The sequence below is a fragment of the Homo sapiens genome, chromosome 8 (assembly GCF_000001405.40).
Source record: "Homo sapiens chromosome 8, GRCh38.p14 Primary Assembly".
NCBI lineage: Eukaryota > Metazoa > Chordata > Mammalia > Primates > Hominidae > Homo > Homo sapiens.
The window spans coordinates 9,390,069-9,407,619 of record NC_000008.11 but is presented as its reverse complement, the minus strand read 5'-3'; the positions used below and the strand labels follow the sequence as shown (position 1 = coordinate 9,407,619).

Below are 17,551 nucleotides of genomic sequence, written 5' to 3'. Positions count from 1 at the left end.
CCCCATAATAGAACCTAAATGGAGAAAATGATCAGATAAGAAATGCACCCAGATTCAAATTAAGTTTAAACAAGCTAAACAATCTTGTTTTCAGCCTGTTCCTTCTACATATAGTCCTGGCAGATCCTTAAACAAATGGTCTCAATGTGCATTACCCACACCTGTCAAAATCGCATGTGATCCTAGCCAATCCAGATATCACTGTTTGCATGCCATGAGGAGAGTGATGGATGAGACCTGTTCCTTGTGTGTGGCATTGTTTATTTACTTTCCAGATGAATTCAGATTACGAGAAGCCTCTGGAATGGTTGTTATCCCTGTAATCTAATTTACTGCTCTGTGCACCTGATACGTTCTTTACCTTAGGTAATGTTAATTTTATTCTTCTGTGCGCTAAGCCTGGTGTTCACAAAAAGCCGTAAGATGTAATTTATTTCTCCCCACTTGCCTTCTAAATATTAATTCTATTGAAAAATGGTTAAATAGATTATGTAAATCATGGTCATTGCAACCACTTTAAAGGTTAATCCTGCCATCATGTAGCCAGATAATTAATTTGAATTCGCTTCCAAGCACTAACTCTCAGGAAAGCCAAGGTGTAATGGGTTGGAGTACCCTATTATGGAGGTCACTGTGTGCCTGCCTGTGATTAAATTTGGAAGAAACAAATCTCAAAGTTTTGAGAACAAAAGTTCCTTCGGGCCATCGAAGAGCCCAGCACATCATAGGATTGGAATCACACTTTGTCCGGAATTTTAGGAGATAGGTTTTACTGACACGTCTTCTGCTTCCTTGAGTTTTCTTAAGTGCCACTTCCTTTATTGGGAAGCCAGGCATGGTTTGGTTTCAAGGATTCTGGGGCAGTCCTGCTGCTCCCAACAAAAAAACTTCACCCACTTTCCAAAAATTACAGGCCGGAGGAGACCTTATCAGATGTTGTCATAGCTTCAACTGTCTGTTGCCACACCTTACGCCTGAGCACACCCACTGATCAGTCATCCATCCAAGGGTGTCAGCCACCAGCCTGGGTTGATAGAAGATCCCTCATTGCAAGCTGGCTTGGAGGATCTTCCCCTCTGGTTCATCCTCCTTAGTCAGAGGTGGGGCCGGGTGATGTACACTTGAAGCTTATTCAATTTTTCAGGCCTTCTTTAAGAAAAAGAGGGGCTGGGCGCGGTGGCTCACGCCTGTAATCCCAGCACTTTGGGAGGCTGAGGCAGGCGGATCACAAGGTCGGGAGATCGAGACCATCCTGGCTAACATGGTGAAACCCCATCTCTACTAAAAATACAAAAAAATTAGCCGGGCGTGGTGGCGGGCGCCTGTGGTCCCAGCTACTCGGGAGGCTGAGGTAAGAGAATGGCGTGAACCCAGGAGGCAGAGCTTGCAGTGAGCTGAGATTGCGCCACTGCACTCCAGCCTGGGTGACAGAGCGAGACTCCATCTCAAAAAAAAAAAAAAAAAAGAAGAATAGAAAAATATAAATTTAAAATTAGATGCAAAATGAATATGTACTTAGAATGTGAAAATAAACCACAGTCATGAATTTTAAAAAGCTAACACTGTAAACATCACTGAAGCCATAAAATGACACTATTTTATTTTTTAATTTCCTGACATGCCTTTATAATACATTTTTCCTAATTTTCTGACTGCCTACTCTTTGGTCGCGTCTTTGTATGACAGCAATTTTGTAATACCATTTTCTATAGAGAGAATAGGAAGATAATTTTATCTTTACCATAGATCATCAAAATTTGTTTCTTACTATTGCTAGGTTGAATAAAAGATACCAACTTTACACAGCCATACTTGCTATTTTTAATACAGTTTCAGATTTAGGCCCTACAAAAAGAGGAATTCTGATCAATTCGATTTCATGTAATTTCCATCAAAAAAGAAAAAAATGTATATTTAAGGTGAGTTTATAGTTGTATATGTTGCATTATCGAGTATCTCCCTGACAAGAGAGAGCTTCAATTTTGACTAGGCATTGATGCGAACCAAGTCATTCTCTACTTCAATTTTACTCATGTGATGATTAGAACTTTCCTAGACTAGCTTGGCTCCAAACATCTCAAAGCTTATTTCTTCTCCACTATCCAGATACTTTCCTGCCAGTTGTGGTGAATTCATTTATATTCTGATGCAACTTCTGGCCTTGTATCTTAAGTTATGATGCTAAGTAAGTCAGCACAGTCAGTGTTAGGTATATTTCTGGAATTATTCCTCCACTGAAATGACTACACATGGAAGTGATTAAAATCATATACAGGCTGGGTGTGGTGGCTCACACCTGTAATCCCAGCACTTTGGGAAGCAAAGGTGGGCAGATCACTTGAGGTCAGGAGTTCGAGACCAACCTGGCCAACACGGTGCAACCCCCATCTCTACTAAAAATACTAAAATAAGCTTGGTGTGGTGGTGGGTGCCTGTAATACCAGCTACACGGGAGGCTGAGGTGAAAGGATCACTTGAACCCGGGAGGCAGAGGTTTCAGTGAGCCGAGATTAAGACACTGCACTCCAGCCTGGGCAACAGAGTGAGACTCTGTCTCAATTAAAAAGTAAAACCAAACAAAAAAACTACATATGTGTGTGTGTGTGTGTGTGTGTGTGTGTGTATCCCCTTAAACCCAGACTAAATGTATCCCCAACTCAAATTCCCCTTATCCAGCCCACGACCATTGCAGAGCCACCTGCTAGATGGGGAAGCAGGAGAGAAGGGAAGTTGTAATGAAAAGCCATTGACCTCCCCTCCAATTAAAACATCCCCCCTCCAATTTTGTTCTTCCTATGATCATCTGGATACATTGTTAGCACCTTTTTTTTATAAGCCCTGGAAAGGGGCCTTTGGGAATGACTTTCAAACTTCACTTTGACAGTCTCTCTGCCTCTATTTCTATTTCTCCATGGTGTCTAGTGGTTTCCCGTCTTCCTTCTGCTGCAGGCACCTAACCCTACTTGTCAAATTTTGAGCACCAAATTACATCTCTGCCTGCTTGAGCTCATTTCTTTTTGACTTTTCTATTGGATTACTTCTCTTGTCTACAAACCTCTCATTCTCTCTAATTATCTAGAACATTCCAAAGTGTCCCTCAAATTTTTTACCTTTTCCAGAAGCTGATATTTGTCACTGAAATCCACTGCTTCCATGATTTGTGGATATCTCAGGTGGGTGACACACGACACAGACTCTGCCTGCTGGTCACCTGCATGTTCGTCCAGGGTTTCTCCCCTACCAGCCTAGCTCAAAAGCCCTCTCGTTTGATCCCAAGGAATTGCTACAGCACATGCTGTTGGGGTGCCTGGTGTGGGGCTCCTAGAGGGCTCCTTTAAGCCTGCCTCTCCCTCTCTGGTAGTTGTAACTAGAAAGGGTATTCAGGAAAAAACACAAATTTCTCTCTAGGTCTTCTCAGCCTCCTTACCAGGCAGCAAGAGCTGAGAGAACTTGGAGTAGAATATTCTAAACCTTGCTCCTGTATCTGCTTTCTTGCCTTAAGAGAAAAATCTTTTCCCCCAGATTCTGCTGTCTTTACACTCATTCTCATCTTACCGATCTCTTTAAAATTTCAGTCATTCTCGGAGACCATAGGGCAGAACGCAAAGAACATAACATAGGAGTCAAATGGAGCCGAACACTTCAGTCACTCACGTGATGGCTGTGTGTCCTTGGGTAAGTTCTGTAGCTTCTCTGAGCCCCAACTTCCTTATAACATCATTGAAGTCCTAACAGCTGTGAGAATGACACATGATGCCTGCAAATTTCATAAAACAGTGCTTGGTGGTTAGTAGTTGGTTTTGAAAAGGTTATGCTAAAATTCCAGGGTGATACTTTTCTAGGTAGTCCCTTTTTGCAGGTAGCTTTCAGAGGTAAAACCTCAGACCCCAACACGGTCCACCTCTGCATTTTTTTTTTTTTTTTTTTGACATGGAGTCTCGCTCTGTGCCCAGGCTGGAGTGCAGTGGCGTGATGTCGGCTCACTGCAAGCTCCGCATCCCGGGTTCACGCCATTCTCCTGCCTCAGCCTCCCGAGTAGCTGGGACTAGAGGCTCAGGACACCACGCTCGGCTAATTTTTTGTATTTTTTAGTAGAGACCGGGTTTCACCGTGTTAGCCAGGATGGTCTCGATCTTCTAACCTCGTGATCCGTCCGCCTCGGCCTCCCTAAGTGCTGGGATTACAGGCGTGAGCCACCGCGCCCGGCCTTTTTGTTTGCTTGTTTTTTGAGATGGTTTCTTGGTCTGTTGCCCAGACTCTAGTGCAGTGGCACGATCTCGGCTCACTGTAACCTCTGCCTCCCAGGTTCAAGCGATTCTCATGCCTCAGCCTCCTGAGTAGCTGGGACTACAGGTGCCTGCCACCACGCCCAGCTAATTTTTGTATTTTTAGTAGAGAGGAGGTTTCTCCATGTTGGTCAGGCTGGTCTCGAACTCCTGACCTCAGGTGATCCACTCACCTTGAACTCCCAAAGTGCTGGGATTACAGGCGTGAGCCACCGCGCCTAGCCTGCCTGCTTTTCTTTTTTGTGAAGAGTATAACATACTTCTCTGGCCCTGTGTGTATTGATCATATCTATAGATGGGGCTGTAAAAGTTTTTGGGGTCTGGTGAACACAATTCTGTCGGTTCAGCCACGAAGTGCCACACAGCCTGACTACAGAGAATAAATATTCATTTGCCTTCCCTTAATTTTAAAAGAGGTTGATATTATTACGAACAAGCCCACTGGTGACAGCACAAACATCAGCATTGTCTGCTGGGTGAGGCGGCGGCGGAATGTTCTGCACATCTCGTCTCGCAGGGAATGTTCCAAGCATTCAAATGCAAATGAGCACCGAGCCAGCCTCCACTGATTTGCATTCGCTCTCCGGAAACCTGGTTTTTCCCTCTCAAATTTACGTTATGTGCAGATACGATACTGCACTGATGGGGCCAAAATAACGTTTTGCCTTTTCCACTCTGTCCTTTTTATCTGGTTTTGCAAATAATCCCCCTAAACCCCATTCTTTCACTATATTGTTTAATTTTGCCCTCATTTTGCCAAAATTCCCTTGTGCTGTGCTCCCGCCAGCCCAGCCATCCACTCTGGCTTCATTCTGTTTCCCAGCTCGCTCGGTGCTTTTCCTTCTCCTGTGGGATTTTGCAGCTGTTCTCTTGCATTTTTTTTCCCACCGTGACCTCTTGCCCAAGTTCTACAAAAAGCACGTGAGAGGCAGCCGATAGTGGACACATGTGGAGGACCAGGAAAGCTGGATATGCCTAGAATCAGATGCCAGACCTTGAGGGATTCAAGCCTCCGTTAAAGCAAGTTTTATTGATGTCTCATATACATAGAGAAAAGTGCATAAACCATGAGTCTGGATGAATTTTGGCAACGTGAGCTCACCTGTGTAACCAGCGCCCATACCAAGAAAAGAAACATTAGGGCTGGACCTGGTGGCTCACGCCTGTAATCCCAACACTTAGGGAGGCTGAGGCGGGCAAATCACCTGAGGTCAGGTGTTCAAGACCAGCCTGGCCAACATGGCGAAACCCATTTCTACTAAAAATACAAAAAAATATTAGCTGGGCTTGGTGGCACGCACCTGTAATCCCAGCTACTCGGGAGGCTGATGCAGGAGAATCACTTGAACCTGGGAGTCAGAGGTTGCAGTGAGCAGGGATCGTGCCACTGCACTCCAGCCTGGGCAACAGCGAGGCTGTCTCAATAAATAAATAAATAAATAAATAAATAAATAAATAAATAAAAGGAAAAGAAAAAAGAAAAGAAGTAGAACAGTAGGACTTTGCTAGAAAGTCATCACTTCCCTCTCCCAAGGGTAACCACTTTTCTGACTCTTAGACCGTAATTTTGCCTAATAGTGATCTTGACCTAATAGAATAATACAATATGTACTTTACCGTGCCGCTGCTTCTATTTTGTTTGTAAGGTTTATCCATCCTGCTGCTCCTCTCACCTCTGTGCTATCTCCTGTTGCGTGGGTATCTTGGAGTTCGTTTATCCATTCTGCCTGAAATGGGTTTTCGGGGTGCTTTCTGTTTAGGGCTACGAACCTTCTTTCATGTGTCTTTTGGTGAGTACATGGATACATTTCTGTTGGATATGTGCTTAAAAGTTATGCTGTTGCCTCATAAGTAGACTTGACGGCTTTTCATGAGACTGTTTTGATGACAGGGGTATTTTGAGGAGGTCCGAAGAACTTTGGTAATTAAGTGACTTGTAAAATTACAGGTTTGTTTTGTGCTATGGACTGAATTGTGTCCCCCCAAATTCATATGTTGAAGCTCAAACCCCAATATGACTGTTTGGAGATAGGCCTTTTAGGAGGTAATTAAGGGTAAGTGAAGTAAAAAAGATGGGGTCTTAATGTGGCAGAATTGGTAGCCTTTTAAGAGGAGGAGGAGGAGAGAGTTTGCTTTCTCAACATGCACACACCAGGACAAAGCCCTGTGAGCACACAACAAGAAGGTGGCCTTCTGCAAGCCAGGAAGAGAGCCCTCACCAGAACGTGACCCAGCCAGACCTTGATCTGGAACTTCTAGTCCTCAGAACTGTGAGAAAATAAATTTCTGTTGTTTAAGTCAGCTAGCCTGATACGGCAGCCTGAACACACTGACATTTTGTTCTGTTTTGTTTTTTGAAGTTGGAAAAGTACCTTTTTTAAAAAAATTATGGGCTAGGCATAGTGGTTCACACCTGTAGTTCCAGCACTATGGGAGGCTGAGGCGGGAGGATTACTTGAGCCCAGGAGTTCAAGACCAGACCAGAATGGGTGACAGAGCAAGACCCTGTCTCTACAAAGAAAAAATTCACCAGGTGTGGTGGTACCTCATGGGAATTACATGAAATAGAACTGATCAGAATTCCTCTGTTTGTAGGGCCTAAATCTGCAACTGTGTTAAAAATAGCAAGTATGTCTGTGTAAAACTGGTATCTTTTATTCAACCTATCAATAATACTTAGGCGGCTGAGGTGGGAGGATCAGTTGAGCCCAGCAGGTCAAGGCTGCGGTGAGTTGTGACTGCAGCACTGCACTCCAACCTAGGCAATAGAGTGAGACCATATTTAAATATTATTAAATTTTTTGTGGTAAAATACACACAACAAAATTTGCCATCTTAACCATTTTATTTTTTTATTTTTTATTTTATTTTATTTGAGACAGAGGCTTGCTCTTTTGCCAGGCTGGAGTGCAGTGGCACGATCTCGGCTCACTGCAACCTCTGCCTCCCAGGTTCAAGCAATTCCCCTGCCTGAGCCCCTCGAGTAGGTGGGATTACAGGCACCCGCCTCGTGCCCAACTAATTCATCTTAACCATTTTTAAGTATATAGTTTAATAGTATTAAATACACTCATAATGTTGTTCAACCATCACCTCCATTCATCTACATAACTCTTTACCTGGTAAAACAGAAACTCAACACCCATTAAATAGTAACTCCTCATTCCCCCTCCCTTCATTCTGACAACAACCGTTACACTGCCTGTCTGTATGATTTTGATTACTCTAATCACCTCATTTAGGTAGAATCATACAATATTTTATCCTTTTGTGTCTGGCTTATTGCACTTAGCATAATGTCCTCATAGTTCATCCATGTTGTAGAACATGTTGGAATTTCTTTCCCTTTTAAGGCTGAATAATATTCCATTGCATGTATAGACCACATTTTGCTTATTCATTCCTCTGTCAATAGACACTTGGGTTGCTTCCATATCTTAGTTATTGTAAATAATGCTGCCATAAACATACGTATACAACTATCTCTTTGAGACCCTCTTTTCAATTCTTTCGGAGTGCATAGTCCTAAGTAGAATTGCTGCATCATATGGTGATTCTATTTTTAATTTTTTAAAGAACCTCCATACTATTTTCCACAGTGGCTATAACCATTTTACATTCCCACCAACAGTGCACAAAGGTTCCAATTCCTCCACATCCTTGCCAACACTCATTTTCTGTTTTTTTTTGTTTTGTTTGGTTTGTTTTTTAAGAGTAATCATCTTAATGGTAAGGAGTAGGTTGTATCTTACTGTAGTTTTGATTTGTATTTTTCTCTTTTTCTTTTTTTTTTTTTTTTTAGATGGAGTCTACTTGCTCTGTCACCTAGGCTGGAGTGCTACGGCCCGATCTCGGCTCACTGCAACCTCCATCTCCTGCGTTCAAGTGATTCTCCTGCCTCAGCCTCCCAGGTAGCTGGGATTACAGGCGCGCACAGCTATGCCTGGCTAATTTTTTTTGTATTTTTAGTAGAGATGGGGTTTCACCACGTTGGCCAGCCTGGTCTCAAACTGCTGACCTCAGGTGATCTGCCCACTTCGGTCTCCCAAAGTGCTGGGATTACAGGCGTGAGCCACCGTGCCAGGGCTATTGATTTGTATTTCTCTTATCATGGGTGATGGAAAAGTATGATTTTCACATTGCTAGTAATTTTCTATTATTTATGGACCACTTTCTTCATTTGGGGAAAATCACCAACGGGCCCTTGGTCAGATAGATGTGAAGCAATCACTGCCCCCTGTTTGAGGGGGCCCTGATGTCACCCTATTGGCTGCAATGCAGATGTTTCATGTAAGATATGGGTTCAGTGCATTCTTAGCAGGACTGAGTCTTTGCAGACTTGAAAAATGATCGTCTGTCTTGCCTCTAATTTGAATTTAGAGTAGATTGGTCCTAAAAATTGTTGGCTTTGGGAAGATGGGTGATCCTCTGTGGAAGAGGGACTCAGAAAGGATCAGCCTCTACTGAGGGCTGCTCGGTGTCTTTACTCCGTGTCATGCACTGTGTTGAGCACTTTACAGGGACTATTTCATTTAATTGGCATAAAACCCATTTAAGCTGAGTATTATTATTATCCTCATTTTATAGATGAGCAAAATAAAGCTTAGTGAAATTAAGTAACTTATCCAAGATCATAGAACTAGTGAGTCACAGGGCTAAGATCCAAGATCAGTCTGATTTCAGAATCTTTAACCAGTGTGCCCTGCTCACATGTACTCATACACATGTGTGCACATGGGCCAGGAGAGAGATGCAGATTTAGTCTTCCCTTTGCTGATCATGGAGGAAAGATTCTAGAAGTACCTAAGACTAAGTTCGGATGTTGCAATTTCATGGGTGTGCCAGAGGTTCCACTGATGTGCAGGTTATTCTCTCTCTGCCCCACTCCCTTCCCCAATCCATTCTCTGCCCATCTCCACTCTGTTCTATGCCATGGGACACTGATCCCTGTAGCCTGCAACTCTACAACCTCTTGCTGGCTGACTGCCAGGTCGATTTGATCCCAGGAGACAGTGGCAGGGCATCAGAGGTTGGAGGGAGAGGACAAATGGAAACCTCTTTTCATGACTTCAGCATCTGCCAGGTGGCCTCGCCTTTGCCTTCCAGCTCTCACCCAGCTCTGGTAACTCTATTTGTTCCTTGTCTTTCGAATTTTGGGGTGCTAATAACTTCCAACGTTGCTAATCTCTGCATATCTTTAATCTCTGATGTGTTTCCATAATCCTGCTCACACATCTGTAAATAGTTCTTCATAAAATCTCTCCATTTGAGGAATGAAGAGAGTCTTCATTCACCTGTGATGAATTCTGTGTCCTCTCAGAACCCTGAAGGATACACATGGTTTTAGTTAAGTCAAATGAGCCAGACTTTGGCAAAAGCACTGTTAACAATTGTTACTGTATTCCTTGGGCTTGGGAGCAAGGTCACTGTCAATCAGCTTGGTACTTCAGAGGATGGGAGTCTTGGACTTCCTCCTCTCTGGAGCCAGGGAAGTTTGAGGTCTGGACTGGAAGAAAGAGAGCCAAGGTCTCTTTGGTGGGCAGTCATCTGGCCCCTGCAACATGGTGATAGGTGGACAGAGATACTAGGCCAGCAGGAAATTCCTCATGGAAAGTCATGCTCCATGGACTCACACCAAATCAGGCTCAGATTAGTTAACAGTGGCTCAAAGATAGGGAAAAAACACACACTTTTCCTTTTTTTTTTTTTTTTTTTTGAGATAGAGTCTCACTCTGTTACTCAGGCTGGAGTGCAATGGCGTGATCTCGGCTCACTGCAACCTCCGTCTCTTGGGTTCAAGTGATTCTCCTGCCTCGACCTCCCAAGTAGTTGGGATTACGGATGCCTGTAATCTTTTGTGTTTTTAGTAGAGACAGGGTTTCACCATGTTGGCCACGCTGGTCTTGAACTGCTGACCTCGGGTGATCCACCTGCTTGGCCTCCCAAAGTGCTGGGATTACAGATGTTAGCCACTGTGCCTGACCTCATTTTTAACTAGTTCAGTGGGAACTTATGATTTTGGCACCCCACCCTGCCACGCCCCCCCAAAAAACCTTACAAAACCAGAAAACAAAAATACTGAAAGAGATGATACTCCAAATTTAAGGTTCAACCAAACATATATGTATATATTTAGTTGTCATCTTTGGGGTTTGGGGCATCAGTGCAGTCTGCTACAACTTTTGTTCACAATTGTCAGCATGTGATTGCAGAAGAACAGGAGGAATTCTGTCCTGATGTATCCTCTGCAGTAGACATGCTCTTTTTCTGCCTGCTCTGCCTCTTTTCCTTTGGAACTCTCCCACACTTCATATGATTTGTGGGTCCTGTCAGTCAAGAGTTCTTACTTCCTCTGCCATGAGGGCAGGTTCACAACCCAGTCTGACTGACAGGATTGCTCTGGAACTGTGCATGCTCTAGGGACAGACCTGAGGCCAGTCAGAATCCTGCATTAATGTAGATCTTGGGAAAGGAGCTTTAAGAGTCGAGAAGGCTGGAAGCTGCCCCAGCCATCTTGCCTCACAAAGAGAAAGTCTTTCAGATAATAAAGCCAAACAGAGTGAGAGATGGAATGAGAAGAGTGCCCTTGGCTGTTATTAGACCCCCTGAAACCAGTGATGCCTGTAGCCTGACCCTGGGACATTCATTCATGTGAGCCAACTATTTCCCCATTTAAAATTAAGTGGCCAGGTGCAGTGGCTCACACTCGTAATCCCAGCACTTTGGGAGGCTGAGGCAGGAGGATTACTTGAGCTCAGGAGTTCAAGACCAGCCTGGGCAACATAGCAAGACCCCCTCTCTAAAAAAAAAATGTAGCCTGGCCAATATTGATGAAATCCTGTCTCTACAAAAAGTTTATATATATATATATATATATATATATATATACACACACACACACACACGTACATATATATACCTATGTATGTGTGTGTGTGCATATAGATATATGTAGATATATAGATATAGATAGATATAGATATAGATATATATAGATAGATATATATAGATATAGATATATATAGATATAGATATATATAGATATAGATATAGATAGATATATATAGATATAGATATATAGATATATAGATATATAGATATATAGATATATATAGATAGATAGATATAGATATATAGATATATATAGATATATATAGATATCTGGGCATGGTGGCATGCTTGTAATCTCAGCTACTCAGGAGCTTGAGGTGGGAAGATCACCTAAGCCCAGGGAGGTCGAGGCTGCAGTGAGCCAAGATTCTGCCATTGCACTCCAGCCTTGGTGACAGAACTAGACCCTGTCTCAAAAAATAAAATAAAATAGAGCTAGTTGTGTTTCTATCATTGTAAAGTGAAAAGGTCTCCACTAATTCTCCTACCCTCAAGAATAACTAATATTAATATGAGAGGGTGTGTTGTCTTTCTCCATAAAGCTTCAAAGAAGAGGAAAGTTTCTTGCTGTTCCACCTGTTTCAACAGGGAAGCTCCTCCTTCTACAGATCTCCCTAAATTCCTTCTGTGGCAATGTAACTACAATTCCTTTGTTCTTTTCTTCAGCCAGTGTGCAAAATAGGTGGTTACCATCTTCCAAAGAGTAATCTTTGAATCCTCCAGGGAAGACAATTGTCAACAGTTAATAGGTTACCCCAAAGCTAGTTTCCTCCAGGCCGAGAATTCTAGTATAATAAATTGAGTCCTTCTCAAAGATAATTTTTTAGAATGCTTGTCTCTGAACTGTAGACTTTTGAACCTTCTCTTTTGATCTGGAAACGTAAAGGAAGCCCCCCAAAATTGGCATAGGTCTTTATTGAAAAAAACATAAAAATTCTATTACTGAAATCAAGTAAGACTAAGTAAATGCCATTGAAGTAAATAAGGCACAAAAAATTTCAGGCAGAAAAAAATACAAATATGTGTATCTATAACCTTTTTTTTGGTTCAGTTCGAAATAGTTTAAGAGCAGATGGCAGTTTTGTGGGGATGCAGTTAGTGGTTGGGTTTTGCCATCTTATCAATGTGTTGTTGTGTGAAGAAGGAGGTAAGGGGGCCTTTGATGTGTAGGAGGGGGGGCTCTATGGGGCTCCTCACTGCTTGAGGCTCCTCACGGCTCTTTGGGGCTCTTCAAAGCTCATAAGTAGAGGCTTGGTTCCTCCCAGGTTCTGTAGAAATAAGCATTTCGGGAATCAAGCCAAAATCTGGGCTTGGTGGCTCATGCTTGTAATCCCTGCACTTTAGGAGGCCAAGGTGGAAGGAGCATTGAGGCCAGAAGTTCCAGACTAGATTGGGCAATATGGTGAGACCTTGTCTGGACATTTTTTTTTTTAAATTAGCAGGCCGTTGGGGCACACTTGTAGTCCCTGCTACTTGGGAGGCTGAGATGGGAGGATCACTTCATCCTGGGAGGTTGAGGCTGCAGTGAGCTATACTTTGCCACTGCATTCCAGTCTGGGCCTCAGAATGAGACCCCATCGCAACCAAAAAAAAAAAAAAAAAAAGAGAGAGAGTGAGAGAATCAAGCCAAAAAGACTAGAATTCCTAAAAGCATGTCTCATACCAGGAAGCTTTAATTAAAGTGGGGGAGGTACCGATTTCCTTAAAGAAAGACCTCTGTTAAAGATCTATTTGTGACATTAATGAATATGCTATTACTTCAAAAGCCCTTTGGACAAGACCCAAAATTTTACCATGAGGTCCTTTCTTCTGTCTTTAGCCTAGGAACACGATTCAAAATCCTTTAAATAGAAAACTTGTTAGGTTTTTAAAGAGAATTCTTCTCTCAGTAAAATAATGTTCAGAACAATTAACTTTTAATTTTCTTTAATTACTTTTAAACATGCATAAGTTCTCAAACACCAAAATAACACTGTGCTCCAGGGAATCCTGGGGGTCGGGTGGAGGCAGGGGGCTTGGTCCTCAGATGAGCTGCATTGCAGATAATCAGCAAATCTCGCATGCATGTTCCCCAACAAACCAGTTAACAAAAGTCAACTCTTCCTTGTCCTCCCCATTTCCCCTCTTACCTAGTGTCTAAATATAATTCAATCATAGTTTGAGTAACTTAATTAAATTACCACCACTATCTTCAAAAACAGTATCTATCCCTGGTTAGCTAAATTACTTTGAGGCAAATTGATCATGTAAAAGTGGCTTGCATTTCTGTTTGCACATTCACTTTACCTGGGGGAGCTTTTAAAAAAAATACCAATATCCTGGTTTCACTCCCAGAGCTTCTTTCTTTTTTAATAGGGATGGAAGGGAGGGCAGTAGCTATTAGTGTTTTTTTTTAAAGATCTGCACAATTTTAACCTGCAGTCAAGGTTAAGAGTCACTGATTTAGAGACTGAAATAGATCAATCGTGGGTTTAAAACCAACTCATCAGGAAGCAGTATGGTGTCCCAGGAAGAGCATGAGAATCAGAGCCCGATGTTTTAATCCTGTCTTTGTTCACTGGGCTCGATCAGTGCACACAGCCTCTTTGTGCATCATTTCCTCATTGGTAAAAATGGGATAATTATGCCCACCTTACAGGGTTATTTTGAAGGAAAAAAGCACCTGGCATGTGACAGGACCTTTACAGCAAGATCTGCTATTTATGTAGCATTAACTCTTCCTGGAAAAACCATGTTCTCCCCTGTTCCTCTTAGTTGCCTCCTTGTGCCAACAGGAATCCAAATCCACACTGTTTCTGTAGACCCTGAATTCTCTGAATGTGGATGGATGGCACCCAAAGCTACACTAAGGTTGCAGTGTCTTAGGGTTTCGAACACTTGTTACTTCCCATGCTTTGCTGAGAACACCTGAAGTAGCGTGGCTCAGTGAAATAAGCCTGAAGGTCTGAGTTCAGCTTCCCTACAAACGTACTGTGTTACTATGTCTGTTACTATGGAAAAATTATTAACTAACTCCCATCCCCACTGTGTCTTAATTGGTAAAATAGGATTCGACTAGATGATCTCCCAATTTTCTTTTAATAATCAGAGTCTGTCACGCCTGTGGTCCCAACACTTTGGGAGGCCGAGGCAGACGGATCAGGAGGTCAGGAGACAGAGATCATCCTGGCTAACATGGTGAAACCCCGTCTCTACTAAAAATACAAAAAAAATTAGCCGGGCGTGGTGGCGGGCACCTGTAGTCCCAGCTACTCAGGAGGCTGAGGCAGGGGAATGGCGTGAACCCGGGAGGCGGAGCTTGCAGTAAGCCGAGATTGCACCACTTCACTCCAGCCTGGGCGACAGAGAAAGACTCCGTCTCAAAATAATAATAATAATAATAATAATAATAATCAGAGTCTATAAGCTTTAAAGAGACTGTACGATCCAAGCCAGAAAAGCCTGCACATATTTTTACCTGCCTACAGGAGAAAATAGTGCCCAAGCAGCTGCTGCAATGAGGAGGTTCCATGAAGGGAGTAGATTTATCTTCTGGAAGGCTGATTCTTTTGTAATCAATAATGGAAAGCAGTTCTACCCTGACTTTTGGCTTGAGAACAGCATACATGAGTCTCCCAATCAGTCTTGATGGAGAGTAAGGTCTCACGATTGATCTTAGGCTCAAAATGAGACCACATCAGAGCCTCCAGAGAGACTGAGCTTTCTGGTTGCCAGAAAGGGACTTTACTGAATCCACAGGATGTAGAGATTAAATTACCCATGCAAGATTTTGGACTAAAATTGTCAGGGCAGGTTGCACTTTAGAGGCTCTCTGGGTCCATTGTTTTCAAACTGAACATGCATCAGCATCACCTGGAGAGCTTGTTAAATCTCAGATTCCTGGACCCCACCCCCAGAGCTTCTGCCTGAGGTGGTCTGGGATGGAGCCTGAGGCTTTGCTTTTCTAACAGGTTCCCAGGTGATGCATGTGGTACAGGTGGTGCTGGTCCTAGGATCTCACTTTTAAAAGCACTGCTTTAGATTTCACTCCACAAACTTCTGGGTTGCTGTGTTAGTCTATTCTCGCATTGCTATAAAGGGACCCCTGAGGCTGAGCAATTTATAAAGAAAAGAGGTTTATTTGGCCCATGGTTCTGCAGTCTGTACAAGCTTGGCACCAGCATCTATCTGTCCAGCTTCTGGTGAGGTCTGAGGAAGCTTTTACTGATAGCGGAGGGTGAATGGGGAGCAGGGGTGTCACCTGGTGAGAGATGAAGCAAGAGTTAGAAGGGAGGAGGTGCCAGGTCCTTTTAAACAGCCAGCTCTTGTGTAAAGTAATAGAGCAACAACTCACTCATTACCAAGGGGAGGGCACCAAGCCATTCATGAGGTATCCAAACACCTCCCACTAGGCTCAGCTCCACCATTGGAGTCACATTTCAACCTGAGATTTGGAGGGGGTACTTATTCAAACTATATCAGTTGTTAAGAATCACCTGGAACATTTGTTAAAAACACCAATTCCCAGGTCCCTCCTGATTTAGCAGGGAGAGTCTGATTTAGTAGATTTACAGTGTGGCCCAGGCTGTTCTTATCATCAGGGGCCATGAGGAAACCCTGAGTCAATCAACTACCCATTAATTGCATTAGAGTCACTTGGGGAGATTTCAAAACTCTGAAATGCTGATCCCTGGGACCTAGTCCCAAGACTCTAATTCTGAAGAATGGAGCTGGAAGAGACTGCATTTTTAAAGCTTCTCAGATGACTCTGATGTGTAACTAAGTTCTCTCATTTTGTAGATGAGGACCCTAGGGAGGGTAAGGCATTGCTCGGAGCTACTGGCAGAAGCAGAGCTAGGACCCACATGGCCTAAATCCCTGTGCTCAGTCCACACTACCATATTCCTTCTTGTCTTGAAACTGTCCCCACAGGGTTGCTGAAAACTGCATGCCAGGTTCTAGACAGAAACAGAGTTATAATAAATCATCATTCAGGCTTCACTCCGATCCACTTCCTTCTTGCTAAGTCATGCAGCACTAGATTAACCCATTTGCATCCCCGTTGTTCATATAGACAAGACCTCTGACATTAGACTCCTAAGGCTTTTGTTTAAGGATTGCTTAAGATGTTTTTCAGATCCTGAATTCCAGCAACCCGTTTAAAGACCCCAACAGAGGAATGGGACCAGCATGAGAATACAGTTTCTTCATTTCCCTGTCCCAAGATTTTGCTCTGCCCTCTTCGACTAAACAGTGAGCACACTTCAGCCCACTCCAAAACTCTTAAAAACCCTAACTTCAAAATCCTTGAGGAAATGGATTTAAGGCTCCCTCTCATTTCCTCTTTCAGTGACCCTATGATTAAGCCTCTTTCTTTGCTGTAACCCAGTGTCTTGGTGTATTGACTTGCCTTGTGCCCTGGGCGATGAACCTATTATGGTTATAGTCTGGTCAGTCAGAGACAGTGGCTGTTTCCTCTGCCGTTGACTTTCAAATGGAGAAGTCCAAGGAATTGGATATTACACCAAGATCCAACACTAGCTCTCTGACACCAACTGGAAGTCTCACAATTCAATTCTAACATTGACTACTCTGAGTTAGTGTCAGATCCCACAAGTTAAAGGGCAAAGTCTCCAGCAAGACCGCCTTTACCTCAGATGCCAGTCACAAATGTGGTCCCCAGGATACCCACGCTTCTCTCAGATTTGACTACAAATTTGCATCTTCCCAGTATACAACCCCTCAAGTTTGATAACTTGTTAGAATGACACAGAACTCAGGAAAGCACTATACTTTGGATTACTGTTTTATTATAAAGGGCACAAATGAATAGCCAGATGAAGAGATACACAGGGCAAGGTCTGGAAGGGTCCCCAGCCTAGGAGCTTTGGTGTTCATGGAGCTGGGGTGCACCATCCTCCTGGTACATTGATACATTCACCAGCCAGGAAGCTCTGTTGCACTGCAGTGTCCAGAGTTTTTATATGGCTTTCACTGTGTTGTCATGATTGATTAAATTATTGGCCATGTAATTAAACTTAATTTCTGATTGCTGTCTCCTCCACCGAGGTTGGGGGAAAGGCTGGAGCTTCCAACCCTCCAATCACATGCTTGGTCTTTCTATTAATAGCATGACCAGCCCCTCCCTTTCAACTCTCTAAGGGCCCACCACCAGTCACATTAACGTAAGTTCAAACGTAGTCAGAAGGGTCTTGTTGTAAATAACAAAAGACACTCCTGTTGGGAAATTCCAAGTATTTTCGAAGGTCTGTCCAGGAACTGGGGACAAAGACCAGATATATTTTTTATGATATCACATGCACCTGCATCCTCCCAATCTCAGCCTCCCTTGGAACACAGCTTCTTAGATTCTCATCTTCCTGTCCCTCACCATT

The 17,551-nt window shown here is 43.2% G+C and overlaps 1 long non-coding RNA gene across 4 annotated transcripts in view; it reads right to left on the bottom strand.

Moving 5' to 3' along the window:
* LOC105379231 (uncharacterized) overlaps positions 1-17,551 on the bottom strand; it is a 62,356-nt gene that overhangs the window by 18,021 nt on the left and 26,784 nt on the right. For 2 of the 4 annotated variants that reach the window (XR_002956685.1, XR_948940.3), the window contains exon 2: positions 3,655-3,757. The exons of 1 other annotated variant lie outside the window; for it this stretch is intronic. This is a non-coding gene — a long non-coding RNA (uncharacterized LOC105379231). Of the gene's footprint in view, positions 1-3,654; positions 3,758-15,275; positions 15,418-17,551 lie in introns of those variants that run through there. One more of the 4 variants, XR_007060812.1, reaches the window with a different exon arrangement.